The 19,165-nt window shown below is 49.9% G+C and overlaps 1 long non-coding RNA gene across 1 annotated transcript, besides 4 other annotated features; it reads right to left on the bottom strand.

The window, feature by feature from the left end:
• Window positions 1–9,364: 9,364 nt before the first annotated feature.
• On the bottom strand, window positions 9,365–18,962 carry LOC400622 (uncharacterized). The gene is made up of 3 exons (NR_148967.1): window positions 18,818–18,962; window positions 11,276–11,508; window positions 9,365–9,723 (listed from the first exon to the last, which is right to left on the bottom strand). It is a non-coding gene; the product is annotated as an uncharacterized LOC400622 (long non-coding RNA).
• Window positions 9,903–10,402: an enhancer, noted in NCBI's record as "H3K4me1 hESC enhancer chr17:75531643-75532142 (GRCh37/hg19 assembly coordinates)". NCBI's record gives its function as "activates a minimal SCP1, AML or CMV promoter by ChIP-STARR-seq in naive and primed H9 embryonic stem cells {active_cell/tissue: H9 hESC(naive and primed)}" and the evidence as "EXISTENCE:reporter gene assay evidence [ECO:0000049][PMID:30033119]".
• Window positions 10,403–10,904: an enhancer, noted in NCBI's record as "H3K4me1 hESC enhancer chr17:75531141-75531642 (GRCh37/hg19 assembly coordinates)". NCBI's record gives its function as "activates a minimal SCP1, AML or CMV promoter by ChIP-STARR-seq in naive and primed H9 embryonic stem cells {active_cell/tissue: H9 hESC(naive and primed)}" and the evidence as "EXISTENCE:reporter gene assay evidence [ECO:0000049][PMID:30033119]".
• Window positions 17,336–17,836: an enhancer, noted in NCBI's record as "H3K4me1 hESC enhancer chr17:75524209-75524709 (GRCh37/hg19 assembly coordinates)". NCBI's record gives its function as "activates a minimal SCP1, AML or CMV promoter by ChIP-STARR-seq in primed H9 embryonic stem cells {active_cell/tissue: H9 hESC(primed)}" and the evidence as "EXISTENCE:reporter gene assay evidence [ECO:0000049][PMID:30033119]".
• Window positions 17,837–18,337: an enhancer, noted in NCBI's record as "H3K4me1 hESC enhancer chr17:75523708-75524208 (GRCh37/hg19 assembly coordinates)". NCBI's record gives its function as "activates a minimal SCP1, AML or CMV promoter by ChIP-STARR-seq in primed H9 embryonic stem cells {active_cell/tissue: H9 hESC(primed)}" and the evidence as "EXISTENCE:reporter gene assay evidence [ECO:0000049][PMID:30033119]".
• Window positions 18,963–19,165: the final 203 nt, after the last annotated feature.

The raw sequence follows: 19,165 nt of genomic DNA, 5'->3' as shown, positions 1-19,165 counted from the left end.
CCTGGCTCATGGCCCCTTCCTCTGTCTTCAAAGCCAGCAACATTGCTTCTCTCTGACCCTTCTTCTGTGGCCACGTCTCTAACCACAGACAGGAAATGTCTACTTCTAAGGATTCATGAGTAGGTTAGGTAGCAGGATAATCCAAAACCATCTCCTATCTCAAGATCCTTAACTTCGTCACATCTCACATCTGCAAAGTCCCTTTTGCCATGTCAGGGGGCACAGTCACAGGTTCTGGGGATTGGAATATGGACACCTTTGTGGAACCCTTACTCTGCCCACCACAGTGTTCTATGAACACACAAAAATGGGGTAGGTGGGCTCAGTGATCGTACAAATGTGAGAGTCACTCCATTAAGCAAATTTAAACACAATTTCACATGGCAGGACTGCTCAGAGCCTGTATTATGCTAATAAGCATGGTGAATTTTCAAGACAGGCTTATAGTGAGCAGCCTTTTGCAAAAGTTTGGCTGCACACATGTGGCCCCAGAACCCCTTTTTGTTTAGATAACCATTGGCACCTCCATAAGAGAGCTTTGCAGGCCCACCGGGTTAGGAAATACGGTGCTGGAGCTTCCCACCCGTTCTGTCTTCCCTATTCCCTCCCCATCCCAGCCTTCCCAGGCCCCGTAAGATCTCCCCCAAGGCCATATCATGTCTGAGCTCTGGAACTCCTTGGACGGAACCATGGCTTGGGTGAAAATAGTAACTTGAACCTTTCATTCTAACTGCCAATCAAATTTCATTTGGAAGTGGTGAAAATGCCCTGTGTTGAAGGCTCTGGCTGACCCAGATATGATGGGCTCCCCATGACAAGCCAAGATCCCTGTGCCTCTGCGTTAGTGACTTTGACACAGGGACTGCTGGTCCCCGGGGATGAGGTTAAGCTGCTGTTGAGTCCCTGACCTTCCAGGTAACATCATCCAAACCAAACTCACAGGACATTTTGAGAGGTTCTCCTCTCAACAAAAATGCCTCTCAGACCTGCCGAGAGAGCCCTCAGAACAACTTCCTCATCTGCTTCCAGCCACCCTTCCTCTAAGGATCGGTAGGGGCCAGAGTTTGGGGACACACTTATGCTCACGCACACGTGAAACCCTAAAGCCAGGGCAGCTGCCTCTCTGAATCACCAGCCTTTTGTGCTACACCAACCATCTCCAATCTGGAGGATAATAAAGGCTGTGCTTTGTAATCTCTCCATGGCCAGATTCTTGCCTCTATGGGGCACTAAAAGAGATCTTCTAGAGCGTTCCAGAAGCCATACCTCTGCCTATATATGATGTCAGGATCAACTGGGACTGTGTCTACTGCAACTGACATCCCATCCTTTCGAGCTCTTGATTGGCTCGTGCAGTTGTCCATAACCAGCCCCAGGGGGCCAATAGAGTGATGGTCTGTGGCCCGCGTGGGGCTGCTCTGGCTGATGGCTACTCGAGCAAGTGCCCAGGACTGTGCACAGACATGGTGTCCACACACCTAGAGACACATCGGAGTTGCAGCATTTCCTGCTGGAAGGCAAATGCATTGCCCTGACCTGGTTCTTCTTTGCCAAGGAAGGGAATGTGTGAGCTGAATCCTGCAAGGTAATAATCGTTGCAAGGCTGTGGGATGCTTGAGGGCATGTTGCAGGCCCCAGCCATTGGCCAGGGGTCTGGTTCACTGATTGATGAAGCCTCCCTCCTTGAAGGGGCACTGGGCAAGACGCGTCCTATTTGTCAGGAGTTTGCATTCACAAAGAAGGACTAAAGCAGCTTCTCTAGGGCAAGCTCCTTCCAGGGCTGAGGCCAGCCGAGACCATGGGGGGAAGACCCCAGACTGTCTTCATGGTGAAGAGAGACGTCTGCTCCGATTTGCACAGGGAGTTTTTTAGCATCGGGAACAAAAGCAGCGTTTCTATTCCCCAGTCTTCACAACAGCAGCTTACCATTCCTGGCACATCTCTGTCCTCTGCTTCCTGCATTTTAAAACCTGGGCGAGGCAGTTAGCAGAAACTCCACTGACCGGGGGTCAGGGTCACGCTCCACCCTGACTCTGTTTCAACAAGCCCTATGAACTTGGGCAAATCTGTACATCTCCCTGAGCCTCGTTTCCTCTTCTATAAAGTGAGCGGGATCGGGCTACGGATTTCCGTGGTCTCTCCCGGCTCCGAGGTCTGTGCTTTCATTGCTAATACCACCCTACCTATTCTCCCCGAGTCCAAATCCGGAAGAAAATAATATGCTGCTTATAAAAATGCTGGTGTTTTCCAAAGGGACTCTCTCATTCCCTGGCATCCTTTTATGGCGCTATTTTCTACCTGGGTCTCAAAGCGCCTGGGGAAAGAATTGTTTAATCTCATTGTGTGGCATCGTGATTATTAGCTGCACTTTGGCCATTGAAGAAATTCAAGCCATAAATAATAATGATGATTATAAAAATAATAACAGGCACAATCCCCTCCCCACGTCAAAGCGCTGGCTTTTTTTTTTTTTAATGCCACTCTGTGCCAGAGGCCTTCAGAAAAAGAGTTAATTAATATCCCTTGCTGTGGACTAATTCTCATTTCAACATGTGGCTGTCATTTCCCTGTCATCATGGCTGATTTACAACAGGGTTTAATTAAATTCTCTGTACATTATTCAGCATTCTCCAAAGACAACACCAGAGAGGCCCGGGGTATTTAAAATGTCACCTGCTGAGACATATCACCTCTTCCTAAATAAATATGACAGTGATCAAACTTTGGCTAATTACAGTGACTTAGTTATTTGTTTGTATGTTTTAATATTTAATTGCTTTCATGTTCATCCAATTACTGAGCCACAGCAAATAGAAATTAACTTTTTATCAGCGTGACTCAGCCCAGCTCATAAGCACTCCAAAGCCTCAATACAATAGGAACTGCCCAAGCTGAGGATCACAGCCATGTTCTCAGCTCAGTGGACGGGGCCATTAAATTAAGGGAGAATCCTCACGGCTCCATCCCCGTTCCCAGCCTGCATGGGGCTGCGGGCCCAGCTTCCAGGAGCATCTAACTCAAAGCCAAGCAGCTGAGCGAAGGAACGCAGGCAGGGCTTCTAATTCCACACTGACACCCGATGGCCACTCTGTGCAACTGCCCCGGGTCCTTCAGATACTTAAGATTCCTGGGGAGATGAATAGGAACTCCTGGGTACACAGAAGTGAGAGTTTTTGAGTTCCCATATCAGTAACCTAAGTTTCTCCTCACCAGGGAGGCTCTTTCTTGATGGTCCTCCAGCTTTGAGGGCCATCTGCTCCTCTGGAGACGTCCTGGCTCCTTCTGCCAAGCTTCCTGGGACAAAGGGGACACCTGAGGGCTGGTTGAGTGCCTGCTGTTTTTAGAAACGGGAGCCAGGATAGGAACACAGCCCATCACCACCCGTCTTCTGATCAAATGCATTAGCCAGTCCTCAAAATCGTCCACCACGCCCTTGAAAGCCAATTCCTCTGATGTTATCTTAAAAGCTCCCCCTGGCTCTCTTTCCCACCCATCGTTCCAATACATCATTGACATCTTGACATCCACTCTTCTCCCAAGGCTAGCCTGGGCATGGAAGAATTTCTGCAGAATTTTAGAAATAAAAAAAAGAGGAAGAAGTAAGCCTTTCTGGGAAGCTTCAGCAATTCCAAATGGGATAAGCAAGTTCTACCTCCAGCCTAATCCCACAGCCTCATGGGATGTTGGCTTAAAATGTTCAACTTTCCAAAAATAAAAAATAATCTTTCCACGCACTTAACATCTTATCTCTCCTGCTCAGCTGTAAGCTCCTTAAGTGGGGGTGGGGAGGCTCAGAAACCAGAAGAGAGGCAGCTGGGGTAAGAGCTGCAGAAAATGCTGGCTGACCAGCTCTCTGTGGAAGGGGCCATGCCTGGCCTTTGTTGTTGTTGTTTTTAATAAGTACTTAAAACAAGTTAATAATATTTATATAAAGTAATATTTCTCCTATGATTCACTTTCAATTTATTTTAGAAAAAAATATATAAGTGTACCCAAAATTCCAAATCAATTTAAAGTAAGAACTCTCAGTTTTTGTCTAATACATCTTATTTTATCTTATTTTGAGACAGAGTCTTGCTCTGTCGCCCAGGCTGGAGTGCAGTGGCTCAATCTCGGCTCACTGCAACCTCCCCTTCCCGGGTTCAAGCGATTCTCCCCCTCAGCCTCCCAAGTAGTTGGGACTACAGGCACGAGCCACCATGCCCGGCTAATTTTTGTATTTTTAGTAGAGACAGGGTTTCACCATGTTGGCCAGGCTGGTCTCAAACTCCTGATCTCAAGTGATCCGCCCGCCTCGGCCTCCCCAAGTGCTGGAATTACAGGCGTGAACCACCACACCCGACCCAATAAATACTTTAACGTCCAAAAAAAATTAAAAATGGTTGGAAGAGTGTTTCTTGATAAATATCAACATTTCTTCAACGTAGTTGCCTGGTCTTTGTAAGGAGTGTGGCTCACTCGGGGCAGCCGGGGGTCCTACAAGGAAATGCATTCATTCATTGAGCAAACAACCTCTACCGTGCGCTAGTGCACTAGGTATGGATTTAGTGATGATAGAAACAACCACCACAGGAAGAGACAAGGTCCCTGTCCTTGTGGCGCTGAAGCTGGAAGGAAACTCACAGATAATTCCGAGTGGGTGAGCTGAGGTGTGGGGAGGAGACGCGGAGACCGCAGGGGCGACCTGCCTGGTCTGAGGAGCTGGGAAAGGCTTGCCTGGGGAGGCCGCATGTGAGCTGACAGCTGAAGACAGACAAAGAGCCTTTTTCAATTAACAAAGAGGAAGAGGCCTCGCGGAAGATTTTTCCTGGGGGCTCAGAGTTTATGCAAATTAACCCAGCCCAGAACGAGGAATTCTAATTGGCCCCAGCAGGTGCCTCCTCGGCAGGGTCGTCCTGCAGTTGGGCACCTGTGTGAACGTCTCCATCAGGGTCCCCGAGGCCAGCACTGGCTGTCAGACCCAGTCTCCTCAGACCCGGAGATTTTTACCTGAAATTCACATTGAGTCTTCACTCCCCGTTCCTTTCGAACTAACTCCCCCTGACAGGCAAGTCCTTATAGAAAGCGACAAAGCTTCCAGTCCTGTGGCTTGGCTGAGAACGACTGAGAAACCAGGATGGGAAGAGGCCAAAGAGGACACAGTGGACTGAGCTGGGCTGGGCATCGGGGAAGGCTGGACCTCAGGGTCGTCAGGTCCCTGCAACGCGGGGCTGGCTCCGACGGTCCCTCTGGAAGGCGAAGCACTGCTGCACTAGTGAATTCATCCAGTGCATCCTCACAGAGCCCACCAGAACAAGGCGGTGGCAGGACTGGGGTCAGGGCTTCCCTTAGGTGCCACACGTTGTCACTGCCAGGATGAGGCATGGGAGCTCTGGCTGTGCCCACTTAAGCCCATCTGGAGGAGCAGGAAGTGCCACACCTAGAAGGTGGCAGGTGTGTTGAGGATGTGAATAAAGGTCAGCAGAGTGCCACAGGGAAAGTCAGCTGATGGCAGTGGGGACAGGGGTCCGGGTGGAAGGAGCCATTGGACATGGCTCATGGCAAAGCCAGCCTGGTGCTTCGGAGAAACTGGAGCGCAAAATACACAACAGAAGGGGCAAGAGAGGAGCCGCCCTGGCCCTGCAGGTAAGGATGAGCCTTCAAGCCAGATTAAGGAGTCAGGCTGTATCCTGAGGGCAAAGGAGAGCCACTGCAGGCTTTCCATGGAGGAGTGAGGAAACTGAGCACAAAGTAGATGTTCTTTAAACACCTTTGAGGCTGGGTGTGGGGGCTCGTAATCCCAACACTTTGAGAGGCCAAGGCAGGAGGATCATTTGAGGCAGGAGTTCAAGACCAGCATGGGCAACATAGTCAGACCCCCATCTCTACAAAAATATTTTTTAAAATTAGCCGGGCATGGTGGCATGTACCTGTGGTCCCAGCTACTCTGGAGGCTGAGGCGGGAGAATTGCTTGAGCCTGGGAGGTTGAGGCTGCAGTGAGCCAAGACTGTACCACGGCACTCCAGCTTGGTGGACAGGGCAAGACCCTGTCTTGCTACCTAGGAGGGGCCCACCAAGATTCACCTCCTAAGCAGAAACTCAGGTATGGTTGAAAGGGGCTTATTAAGGCTAACAAGACTCTCACCCCTATCATTCAGGAAACTCTAAAAGTTTTAGAAGCTCTTCTACCAGGAACAAAGTCCAAATATATATTGTTTATTATATCACAGTATCACATATTATAATCCCTAAGTTAGCCGCTATTAAAAATGCAAAAGTACAGCTAAAATGCCAATAAACTAATTAAAATGGGGATACCAAAAAATATGATTAACCTAAAAGAAGTCAGGAAAAGAGAAACAGGGAAACAAAACAAAACAAAAAAAACAGAAGGGACAAAAAGAGAACAAATGTCATAATGGCAGATCTAAATCCAGCTACATCTATAATCACGCTTAACAGAAATGCACTGAACATCCCACTTAAAAGGCAGAGATAATCTGGCTGAATAACACTGCAAGATCCAGCTATGTGTCATCTCCAAGAGATACATTTTATTTTTTGTTTTGTTTTGTTTTTTGAGACGGAGTCTCGCTCTGTCGCCCAGGCTGGAGTGCAGTGGCGCAATCTCGGCTCACTGCAAGCTCTGCCTCTGGGGTTCATGCCATTCTCCTGCCTCAGCCTCCCAAGTAGCTGGGAATACAGGCACCCGCCACCATGCCTGGCTAATTTTTTGTATTTTCAGTAGAGACAAGGTTTCACCGTGTTAGCCAGGATGGTCTCGATCTCCTGACCTCATGATCTGCCCACTTTGGCCTCCCAAAGTGCTGGGATTACAGGCGTGAGCCACCGTGCCTGGCCGAGATATATTTTAAATATAAAGACACAGACAGACTAAAAATAAAAGGATAAAAAAAAGTATGACAGGCAAACAATAAGTGCAAAAAACAGGTGTGGCTATGTTACTGTAATAGGCTCAAGACAAAGAGTATTGCCAAAGAGATAGAGGGAGACTGCATAATGACGAAAGGATATGTTTATTGGGAAATCCTAACAATCTTAAATGTATATGCATCTAATAACAATTTCAAAATAAATAAAGCAAAACCTGTCAGAATTAAAAGGAGAAATAGACAAATCCAAAAATTACAGTTGGAGATTTTAATACCTTTCTTTCAGCAACTGACAGAGTCAGTAAACAAAAAAAATCAAAAAATCAGTAAGGACATTGAGCATTCTAACAACTATTGTGACCTAATTGATATTTAAGGTCCACTACACCCCGTGATTACAGAATACATGTTCTTTACAAAGGCACGTGGAGCCCTCACCAAGATAGTCCATATGCTGAGACATAAAATAAGTCTGGACCAATTTTGAAGATCAAAATCTCACAGAGTATGACCTCAGATACAAAGGAATTATATAAAAGGAAAACATCTGTCTTAAGCCAAACCATCTGAAACATGCCCATCCAAATTTAGGGAAACTCATACAGCCAGATAAATAGACACAAATGTAATTTTATTAAGATCTTACATTAATATTCGTTCAGATTAATGTACACTGCCTCTCCCCAGCTGCTCTGAATCTCTGTGGTTTTGCCAGCCCCACCAGCCAAGTCTGCACTGAACCTAAAGCTCATTATCATTGTGACAACCTCCCATCACCTGCTGCTGGCACCTCTCTTGTGACACCCATTATTCTCTCTCTTGTTTTGTGATGGGGTAAGACAGCACATTCCTGGTCCTTTCTCCCCGACTGTCAGCTCCTCAAGGGCAGCATCAGGACCCGACACACGGTAGGCACCCAAAGGGCATGCTGCATGAAAGTGATTGCCGGCCGGGCGCAGTGGCTCACACCTGTAATCCCAGCACTTTGGAAGGCTGAGGCGGGTGGATCACCTGAGGTCAGGAGTTCGAGACCAGCCTGGCCAACATGGTGAAACCCGTCTCTACTAAAAATACAAAGATTAGCTGGGCGTGGTGGCGGACGCCTGTAGTCCCAGCTACTCAGGAGGCTGAGGCGGAAGAATCGCTTGAACCCGGTAGGTGGAGGTTGCAGTGAGCCGACATTGTGCCACTGCACTCCGGCCTGGGTGACAGAGAGAGACTTGTTCTCAAAAAAAAAAAGAAGGAGAAGAAGGAGGAGGAGGAGGAGGAGCAGCAGAAGAAGAAGAGGAAGAGGAGGAGGAAGAAAGTGATTGTCGTCATCATCACTGCCACTGTCACCATCATCATAGGATGACACCAAAGATCCCATCTCACTTAATGCTCCAGTCACTCAACCAGGGCAATCCCCACCACTCCTGAAGCACACAGATCTAGTGTTCCTAAGCTTTATTTCACATTCAGTAAGAAGCAACGCATCACCCCACCATAGACCCACACAACTGTCCTTCATTGTGGCAAGTCACTGGCACATGTTTGTGAGCACTTTGTTAGAGCTCAAGGTCAAATGAGGGCTCTAAGAGCCTAGAAATTGGAGACTGGCCTCCAGACTCTGTATGACCCAGATTGCAACTTCCACTGACCCAGGGGTGCTTGACTTTTTGGAGGGCAATATAGGATCTGGGATGGGATCCGCTGTCCAATGGCTGGGGCTCGAATCCTAGTTCTACCACTTCCTAGCTATGTGACCTTGGGCACTTACTTGAAATAAACCTCAACTTCCCCATCTGTAAAACAGGAATAATGCTAGGACCTAACCTCATGGATTATCTCATTCAGTGCTCCTGCAGCTGTATGAGGTTAGGTCCTAGAATTATTCCTGTAGTACTAACACTTTTAATCGTTCCCAATACCCTTGTATGGTGGCTATTATTCCTATTTTAAAGTGATGAGGCCGGGCACAGTGGCTCATGCCTGTAATCCTAGCACTCTGGGAGGCTGAGGCAGGTGGATCACTTGTGGTCAGGAGTTTGAGACCAGCCTGGCCAACATGGTGAAAGCCCATCTCTACTAAAAATACAAAAAAAAATTAGCCAGGCATGGTGGCTCATGCCTGTAGTCCCAGCTACTCGGGAGGCTGAGGGAGAATTGCTTGAACCCAGAAGGCAGAGGTTGCAATGAGCTGAGATTGTGCCACTGCACTCCAGCCTGGGTGACAGAGCAAGACTCCATCCCAAGAAAAAATAATAATAATAATAATAAAGTGATGGATCAGGGGACACCTTGTGCAGCTATGAGATGGGAGACTAGGATTTGAACACAAACACAACTTCCATACCAACCTCAGACGCACACACCTGCTGTAGTCTACACCAGCGGATCTTAATCATGGCTCTGCCATGGACACCTCTGACATCTGCGGAAGCCCTTCTCAAAATAATATTTTTAAATGCCTAAAATGAAATACAGAGAGTTACAAAGGAAACCAATAAAGTTAAAATCCAGTTCTTAAAATATTTTTAATTGAGATATGATAGTATACATACTTCTTTCTTAATGCATTAAACAAAGAATAGTTGCTGGTTTAATTACCACCCAAATTTCTAAGTTATGATAAATGTAAATACTATTTTGAGATATCTGCAGCCACTTTGATGTTGCGGAGAAGTAACTGCTCATACTATTGGGTTATACTGATTCCATTTATAATGAAAGAAAATGCTAAACTTCAGTAAAACTTTCCTGAAAATAAAGATGCAAATTTATTCCATCCAAGCTCCCAGACCCCCTGAATTCTCTCCATAGACCCATGAGTGCCAGGTTATCATGATGTTCTGAAGAATACACAGTTTTCTGAAAGAAACAAACCACAACAACAGTGAGCAAAATTGACTATTCGAGAATGGAAAGAAAACCTCTTTCTCAGCCATCAGAATCAGCAGGCAGTCTCCACCCACTGTATGCCATTGACAATTCTGATGACTTCATCGAATCCAGTTCCCGACAAGACCAGGGTGTGGGGCCCAGGGAGGGCTGGGGATAGGAGGGGAAGTATTACGGATGATGCTATCTGATTATACTAATTGGAAATAATGGCCCAAACCAAGAACCCAACCACAAGTCGATTCATTTCGAAAGCTATGTAATAATGTTTAGGATAAGGAATTAATTTTTACAGCCACTGGGGCAGTTGGACATCCACCGTAATACAGATTTATTACAAATTAAAACTTCCCCTCAGGTGGTGAATGTAAAGACACCATAGACAACAGGAAGGACCCCTGAGTCACACACCCCCTTAGGTATGCAGGAAACCAAGGGTGGGTATTTGAGGAGCCACCACCCTCTGCCCGGACTGCACTCCCCACACCACACGTGGCTGCGTCTCATTTCCTCCCCTCCCAGGAGGAGAGCAGTACCCCTACACAAGGACGTTGCTTCCTTGTTTTCTACCGAAGAGACCAAGGGCACCTTGAAGGCCCAGCGCTCTGAACGCCACTTTTCCTGGCTGTCTGGTTCAGACCCTGGAAGAGGAGCCATCGGGCAGGGAGGGGGATGACGTCAGCACCCACAGCTCCCAGCACAACGGCTTTCAGCCTGGCACTCTCAGCCAGTTTTGTGTTCAGAGAATACATTTTGGTTTACTCTTTGCTGATAAAACTCCATGCCTGGCCAGGCGCGGTGGCTTATGCCTGTAATCCCAGCACTTTGGGAGGCCAAGGCGGGCGGATCACGAGATCAGGAGATCGAGACCATCCTGGCTAACTTGGTGAAACCTCGTCTCTACTAAAAATACAAAAAATTAGCTGGGCGTGGTGGTGGACGCTTGTAGTCCCAGCTACTTGGGAGGCTGAGGCAGGAGAATGGCGTGAACCCTGGAGGCAGAGCTTGCAGTGAGCCAAGATCCCGCCACTGCACTCCAGCCTGGGCGACAGAGTGAGACTCCATCTCAAAAAAACAAAAAAAAAAAAACAAGAAAAACAACAAAAAAAAACAACTCCATGCCTTTGTCCTATGAGAGAAGCATGGAAACTCCAGGGTTCCCATGCAGGCCAGACGTCCCGACCCCTCCTTCCAAGACTGTCAAGCCAGAAAGGCACTTCGCCTCTTGGGTGGGTCCCAGGCAAGGCTTGGTGTCAGTATCTCCCCCTCCCGCCATAACTTTCTGGCAATCAGCTGTGGCTGTCACCCAAGTTGTGCATCAGAGACAAGAGGAACTTTTAGAAACAGCTTCCCGGGCCTCACCTTGGCAGTCCTACCCAGGAATCACCTTGGGAATCACCTTGGCAGAGCCCGGGAATCTGCATGTTAAAGCACCCTCTGGTTCTGATGATCAACCTGTTGGCATCTGCATGACACCCTTCTCTTTGAAAGGATCTGAGAGCGGCCCTTCATACATGCTCACCTGCTCCCTCTGCTAAGTGAGGAGGCAGTCATCTGCCAAGCACCAGGCTGGGGGTGCTGAGCTGCAGGGACTCTTGGGCTTCTGAAACCACAGGGTGCCTTTCTTCCAAAAGCTGCAGGTTCTTAGAAGCAGAGCTGCCTGACTACTGCCAACGGGGTGGTGGGCTCTTGTCCAGATCCAGACAGGGTGGGAGTGAGTCCATTTTCACACTGCTGATAATGACATACCGGAGACTGGGAAGAAAAAGAGGTTTGATGGACTTATACTTCCACATGGCTGGGGAGGCCTCACAGTCATGGTGGATGGCAAGGAGGAGCAAGTCATGTCTTACATGGATGGCTCAGGCAAAGAGAGAGGTTGTGCAGGGAAACTCCCCCTTATAAAACCATCAGATCTCACGATACTTATTCACTATCATGAAAACAGCATGGGAAAATCCCACCCCCATGATTCAATTACCTCCCACCGGGTCCCTCCCATAACACATGGGAATTCAAGATGAGATTTGGGTGGGGACACAGCCAAACCATATCACACGTCCATGCCCAAGCATGGAGGGCCAGGAAGTGCAGGGTATACACACAGTGGATGGGTATGTTTCTTGGTACACAACTCTGACTCTTTATATATAGCATTTCCTGGACCCTTTTTGAGGACCTCAGATCATCCCTGGCATTTTGGGCCCATTGTCTGGCTTCATGTCTTTTTTTTTTTTTTTTTTTGAGATGGAGTCTCACTCTTGTTGCCCAGGCTGGAGTGCCTGGAGTGCAGTGGCGCAATCTCCACTCCACTCACCACAACCTCCGCCTCCCAGGTTCAAGCGATTCTTCTGCCTCAGCCTCCTGGGTAATACCAGCACTTTGGGAGGCCGAGGCAGGTGGACCACCTGAGGTCAAGAGTTTGAGACCAGCCTGGCCAACATGGTGAAACCCTCGTCTCTACTAAAAATACAAACATTAGCCGGGCATGGTGGCAGGCACCTGTAATCCTAGCTACTCAGGAGGCTGAGGCAGGAGAATTGCTTGAACCTGGGAGGCGAAAGTTTCAGTGAGCCAAGATCGTGCCACTGCACTCCAGCCTGGGCAACAGAGTGTGACTCCATCTCACAACATAAATAAAAATAAATAAATAAATTGAAAAGTCTAATTAAGAAGTAAAACTTCTTTTACTTCTAAAATTTCTTTTCTGCCTGCTTTTGCTAGTAGGAAATTTTTTTCTGTTTCCTCCGAGTTCAGGAGAGGAAACCCTGTTCTTCTCACAATTACTCTGCGTGAGAAAACCCAGGTAAAAAGAACCAACAGCACCGCCCCTGAGCCCCTCCCTTACCCACCCCCCCAGCTGAGCTTGCAAAGGAGGAAAGCATGTTGTGTGTGGCTGCAGCCATTTAAAATGCAGGCGGGGCTGGGTGCAGCAGCTCATACCTGTAATCCCAGCACTTTGAGAGGCTGTGTTGGGCGAATCATCTTGAGTTCAAGACCAGCCTGGCCAATATGGTGAAACCCCATCTCTGCTAAAAATACAAACATTAGCCGGATGTGGTGGTGCATGCCTGTAGTCCCAGCTACTCGGGAGGCTGAGGCCAGAGAATCACTTAAACCAGGGAGGTGGAGGTTGCAGTGGACTGACATTGAGCCACTGCACCCCAGCCTGGGTGACAGAGCAGGACCCTGTCTCAAAAATCAATCAATCAATCAACAAAATGCAGGAGGGAGTCACTGTTTCAAGGTGTCCTGTGGATATCCTGGCCTACTTGGGAAGCAGAATTGGTCTGGACATTTTTCTGGAGCAAAACTTCTTGACACCTGTAGCAATAGTGTCTCCCTAGACATATGACCTGACTGGTAAATGGCTTCATGTCCCAAAGTTTCCAACGTGGAATTTTTTCAGAAGGGCACCAGGAAATGTGTAAGACATAAAAATCACAAGCAAAAAAACAACAAAAATAAAAATCACAAGCATTCGACCTGAGCCACGTTGCTGAACTTCTCTGTGCCCATCTCCTCATCTGTAAAATGGGACAGTAAGACGTTTGGCTTCTTTCCTTCCCTACAATAAGTGTTGATGGGGGGCGACTATGCCGGGGATAGTCACACGCTCCCCAAAGGCCCTCTCCAGAGCTCTATCAGCAAGGATGTGGAGGGAGGACCCCGCGATATACTCTAAGGGCAGAAGATTCCTGACTGCTCTGGCAATCTGAAGGAAGGCAAGGGCAGTCCTGGTTGTTGGCATCATCACAAAACCTTCTGTGAGCAAAGGAAGAGAGGACCCATTCAGGACCCATTAAGTCCTGACTGTGCCATGGAAGAGACATCTTCTGGGTGGACACTGATGTTCAGTGGCCTCCAGGGGACTTGGCAGGTCCCCTTGACACACTGGAGGCTCCCTAGCTAAAGTCCCCTCCCAGACACCCTCATTCCTGTATCTCCAGGACTGGAGAGGCCTACTGGCCATCCAGGAGGATGTTTCTGTTGTCGGGCAGAGAGAAGTGAATTTTAGACCTTGCCTCCTGCCCACCTCCACCCTACAGCTCAAGAATATGACAATTTCCAGGACTGTGAGGACCAACTGAGACCACGTGATTTTGCAAGACATGGACGCAGCTGTGAGTCTGAGTTACTATCCCAACTATCGTCACCACCATTGTCTCTGCCGTCACCCTGTGAATGTGCCAAGGTCACTACCAGCACCTGGGTCCCCTCCAAGCTCCTGCAAGGGCAGTTTGTGGTGATGAAGACGATGTTAACTCCACACTGTCTCTGCTCTGACAACACACAGTGTCTGTAAGCTTGCTGGCCACAGTGGATCTGTGCTGCCCGACATGGCCATCTTGGCACGAACACAGTGAGTTACTAAACGGTCTCCTTGTTGAGATACCTACCAACTGTGGCAGGTGAAGCTTTCCCATCCTCTGCATGGGGCTGACCATCTGCCCGACAACAGAAACATCCTCCTGGATGGCCAGCAGGCCTCTCCAGTCCTGGAGATACAGGAATGAGGGTGTCTGGGAGGGGAATCTAGCCAGGGAGCCTCCAGTGTGTCAAGGGGACCCGCCAAGTCCCCTGGAGGCCACTGAACATCAGTGTCCGCCCAGAAGATGCCTCTTCCATGGCAGAGTCAGGACTTAGTGATCAAAACTGCCCAGGCCCCAGGAGGAGTTAGGCTGGGGTGTGGCACACAGGCCTGTACCCTCCCTAGTGACCACAAGGATGGCAGGGGCCACATCCTTTGACCCCACACAGGGAGACCTTATCGGCAAGTGGGTTACTGTTGAAAAACACTGCCACGGGCCAGGGCATCCATGGCTTCCAAATGCTCAAAACTGCTTCCGATCATCTTGGAAAATTGTCCAATTTTTGAACGATGGGGGTGGGGATAGGCAGGAAACAGGGTCTGAAATTTATTTCTCTGTCTTTTATTGGAATAACTTAATCCCTGCTAGTAGTTAAATATGAGAGTGATGTGACGTTATCATAAAAGTAAACACACAATTACAGTAGGGGGTAGGTGTAAAACAAAACAACACCCGAGCTGATTATTTACCCAACCAACTGGAAACACATGAGCAAAACCATCCTGCCCTGACAGGTGAGCACATTCATAATTGCTTTTAAACATGTACTTAAATGTTGATCTGTTGTGTAAATACCTTTTTAAACGAGTACGATTTAAGACAATGTAACTGTTACAGGGGCAGGGGGCGTGGGGCAGGAGAATGACTAAGGAGACCAACTTGAATTCCAGCACTCACCTCTGTGGTCCACGTCCCCTCATATCAGAGCAGGTGTTTTCATAGACCTGGCGGCTATCTTTGGGCATACATTTTGGATTCATTTGGTTCAACAGACCCTGTATTTGTTGTCGAGGGCTGCCACGGCAAGCCACTGCGGTCAGAGTGCCTTCAACAGGAACGCATCACCGCGCAGTTCTGGAGGCTGAAGTCTGAGATCAAGGTGTCTCGGCAGGGTTGGTTTCTTCTGAGGCCTCTCTCCCGACCTTATAGAACAGGGGTCCTCAACCCCTGGGCCAAGGACCAGTACCGGTCTGTGGCCCTTTAGGAACCATTGGATGTGCACAAGAGCATGAAACCTGTTGTGAACGGCACATGTGAGGGATCTAGGTTGCGTGCTTCTTATGAGAATCCAAGGCCTGATGATCTGTCACTGTCTCCCATCACCCCCAGATGGGACCATCTAGTTGCAGGAAAACAAGCTCAGGGTCCCTCTGATTCTACATTATGATGAAATGTATAATTATTTCATTATATATTACAATGTAATAACAACAGAAATAAAGTGCACGATCAATGTAACGTGCTTGCATCACCTCGAAACCACCCCCCACCCCACCCGGGTCCGTGGAAAAATTGCCTTCCACGAAACCAGTCCCTGGTGCCAAAAAGGTTGGGGACTGAGGTTATAGAAGGTCATAGAAGGCTGTATCTCCAAATACAATCATATCCTGAGATACTGGGGCTTCGGGATTTATTTTATTTTTATTTTATTTATCTATTTTTTTGAGACAGAGTGTCGCTGTTGTCCCCCAGGTTGGAATGCAATGGCGCGATCTCAGCTCACCGCAACCTCTGCTTCCCGGGTTCAAGTGATTCTCCAGCCTCAGCTTCTGGAGTAGCTGGGATTACAGGCAGCCACCACCACTCCCCGCTGATTTTTGTATTTTTAGTAGAGACGGGGTTTCACCATGTTGGCCAGGCTGGTCTCGAAATTCTGACCTCAGGTGATCGCCCCCAACTCGGCCTCCCAAAGTGCTGAGATTACAGGTGCTCGCCACCACGCCCAGCCAGGGGCTTAGGGATTTAATATATGGATTTGGGGAGGACACAATTTAGACCATAACAGATTACTTCCGCAAAAGCCAAAACCCACGTTACACAGGGAAGGAAAGGGTTGACTGAGAACCCAAGTCAGGTAGGGCCTAAAGCCCTGCGGGAAGGACACCTGGTTCTAGGTACTGGCTTTATCTTTAAGGATAAAGACCCTAAAGGTGATTTTAAAGTAATAAATAAACACTTCCAAGGCACAGAGAACATCCCAGAAAGTTCCAGACATGTAGGACTATCCTGATAAGAGAAGCAAGAAAGTGATTTCCAGGGTCAATGTTGGAGACACTAGAAGGGGGCAGAAGGCATTGGGGGAGAAGGCAGCCCCTCTGCAGGGCCTGGCAAGCAGGGGATATGCCCACTGCTCCTGCCTGTGCACCCGGTGGGCAGCCCCTCGGCGGGCTCATTAACTGCCATCCTCAGCACTGAGGGACCCGTTCCCGGTCAGGGAGCAGAACCGGCTCTTCCCCAGGGGGATGCAGGCAGGAGGCCAGCGCTTACCTGACTGACAGGTGTCAGGTCAAATCACCAGGTCTCCTGAAAATATCAGCCTCGCCTCCTGCCGGGCCACGCCAGCCAGGGATAGAGAGACAGACAGCTCCCCTAATGATGCCAGACAGACCTTCTGACAGCTCTGCCCTCCCGGGCCCCCGGAACAGCCAGCGCGGAGTGCTCTGCTCCAGGAGGGGTGGGGACCCTGGCTTTCCTGCCCTGCCCAGCCCAGCCCAGCCAAGCAGCAGAGAGAACAGGACGGAGGCTCCCATTTCCCAGGGACTGCAGCGCCTCCAAACCGCCCATCTGCGACGGCCCCGCGAGCGTGCGCAGCCCAGCCCCTCCCGGACGTCCTCGCCCCCGCCCGGGCACATCGTGCTCCGCACCGAGGCAGAGAGGGGCACGCGGATCCCAGCCCCTGCGAGCCCCTCTGCCCGCCGCCACTTCACACCCCGCATTGCCTCAGCTGCCGTTCCAGAAGATGCATCGTCTGGCGCGCAAAGCGGTGCACGGTCCCCAGCCCGCGCGCAGCAGCCTGGAGGGGCGCCAGAGTCCCCGTCCCACTTCCTGGCGGCACTGCCCCCGGGCAGCTCCCTCCTCCCCTCTCTCCCTCCATGCCCCCACCCCATCTTGGGACGCTTCCAGGACCGAAGAGGCAGGAGGGGGATCGCGAGGGGAAGGCGCGGAGCTGGGGAAGGAGGAGCAGCGCCGGGCGCAGCAGCTCAGGGCGGTCCGGGAGGCTGCGCGGCGCTCGCGGACCCACGCCCCAGGACAGAGGACGCAGCTCCGAGCATCGCACGTGGCTTCCAGATTCCTCCCACCCCTACCCTGGCGACCACGAGAGGGGGTCGGGGGCATCTTCTTCCCAGCCCCAGCTGGACAAAAAGCCTTGCAAAAGGGAAGAAATTAAAAAGCAGGGGGAGGGAAGGTGAGGAGGGGAGGGGTGGGGGGAGAAGGAAAAAGTCCCTTCCAGCCATAGTGGGTCCCAGAGAGGAACAGAGGGGTGAACATAGGCAGGGTCCTCGGGTTCCCTCCCCACCTGCCTCCTCCCAGGGTATGTGCAGCGGCCTGGCCCATCCGCCTCTGGGGCGACCACGGGACACACCGCATGGCCACTGTCACTCTGAGTCCCCACCTGCCACACACTCATCCGCGACTTCTGGCTCTTTGATCTTCCCTTTACAAAATAGTCGTGCTTTGTTCACGACAGGGTGAAGGCCCCAGGGACGCGTTCTGCATGGAGGATGGCAAGGGGGAGGTTTGGTTGAATCAAGAACCCTTGATCGGCCCCTTGGGTTTCCAGCCCCCAAGAGCGCTCACACAGCCCACGTGTTATGTCCCAGCTCCGAGCAAAACAGCGTGCCAGTGTGGATGCCCCGAACTCAGACGCGGCCCCCTGGACACAGATGGGACTTTCTGTCCAGAAACAACCCAGCCCCCACAACAGCCTGGACGTTACACTGAGTTCATTTCGTTCCAATCAAAGAGCAAAATATATACCGTGAAGGGCCCACCTTTCCTTTTCTCCTTGTTCTATAGGGCGATTAGCATGGAGAAGCCATCACACTGTAGTGGAGGGGAGAGGGTGGCTTAAAAATAAATGGGCTCTGGGAGGGAAGGAGTAACTTGCAATGCCACTCTTGGCACTCTTGGCATTGTGCAGGAAACCCAACCCTCAGCTCTCACCCACACAGAACCCCATCATCTGCTGAGCTTCTGCCACTGCTGAATGTACCCCCGGGAAGAGCTCCGAGCCTCTGCCCTGCTGAATGCACTCCTAGGAGAGGCTCCAGAGAGGCCCCCAGCATGGCTACCCCTGTAGGAAAGCAGGCCGTGATGTTTCTAAACACAGGGGTGGCTTACCACAGTAAACATGCCAGTGCTCTGAGGTGTGGAGACTGCGGGAAGCGATTCAATATTTTCATGGAGGCTCATTATATTTGCTCCCAGACCAGAAAAGCCGGAGCCTATTACTGCTCTCTTGGTAGGATTTTTTTTTAATCCTTGTATATTACAAGAACATGAATTAAGCTCTGATGAACGCGATATTAATTAATTACATGAAGATCCACGTGGGAGACAGGAGGGGGTGGAGGGAGAGGTTGTGCTATGCAAATGACCGGGAGGAGAGATGCTGCCGGAATTGTGCTTCTCATTGTTTCTGGCTCCAGAACGTGGAGGCGTGCGCAGTGGGCTCAGCCAGGGAGGTTTACCTGCAGGCAGCAGATGTGGCTTCTGCAAGATTTAAAGCCTCTGGCACCATTACAGACGAGGAACGTTGCGGGGGGCCTGGGCATTGCAGCAGCGGAGAGGGAGGAGGGGAAGAAGGACTCCGGTTCAGGCCGCCATCTTCTCAAACTGCAAAGAGGGAATTTAAAATCCGTTTCACATGTTCCAAAATGGCTGCTCGCAGCCCGAGCCCAGGAAGGTTGCAAAGGGCCTTGTGTGGCTCAGAGAGCCTCCTGGACTCTTTCTGTCCATAAAACAGAGCCTGAGTGTTGCAAGAAGAGTCCTTGACTACTAAAGGCAGATCATTCTCCTCCAAAATATTTTGCAGAAAC

This window comes from Homo sapiens, chromosome 17 (genome assembly GCF_000001405.40).
Source record: "Homo sapiens chromosome 17, GRCh38.p14 Primary Assembly".
Taxonomy (NCBI): domain Eukaryota; kingdom Metazoa; phylum Chordata; class Mammalia; order Primates; family Hominidae; genus Homo; species Homo sapiens.
The sequence above is the reverse complement of the archived record's forward strand: the minus strand, read 5'-3'. Positions and strand labels throughout refer to the sequence as shown.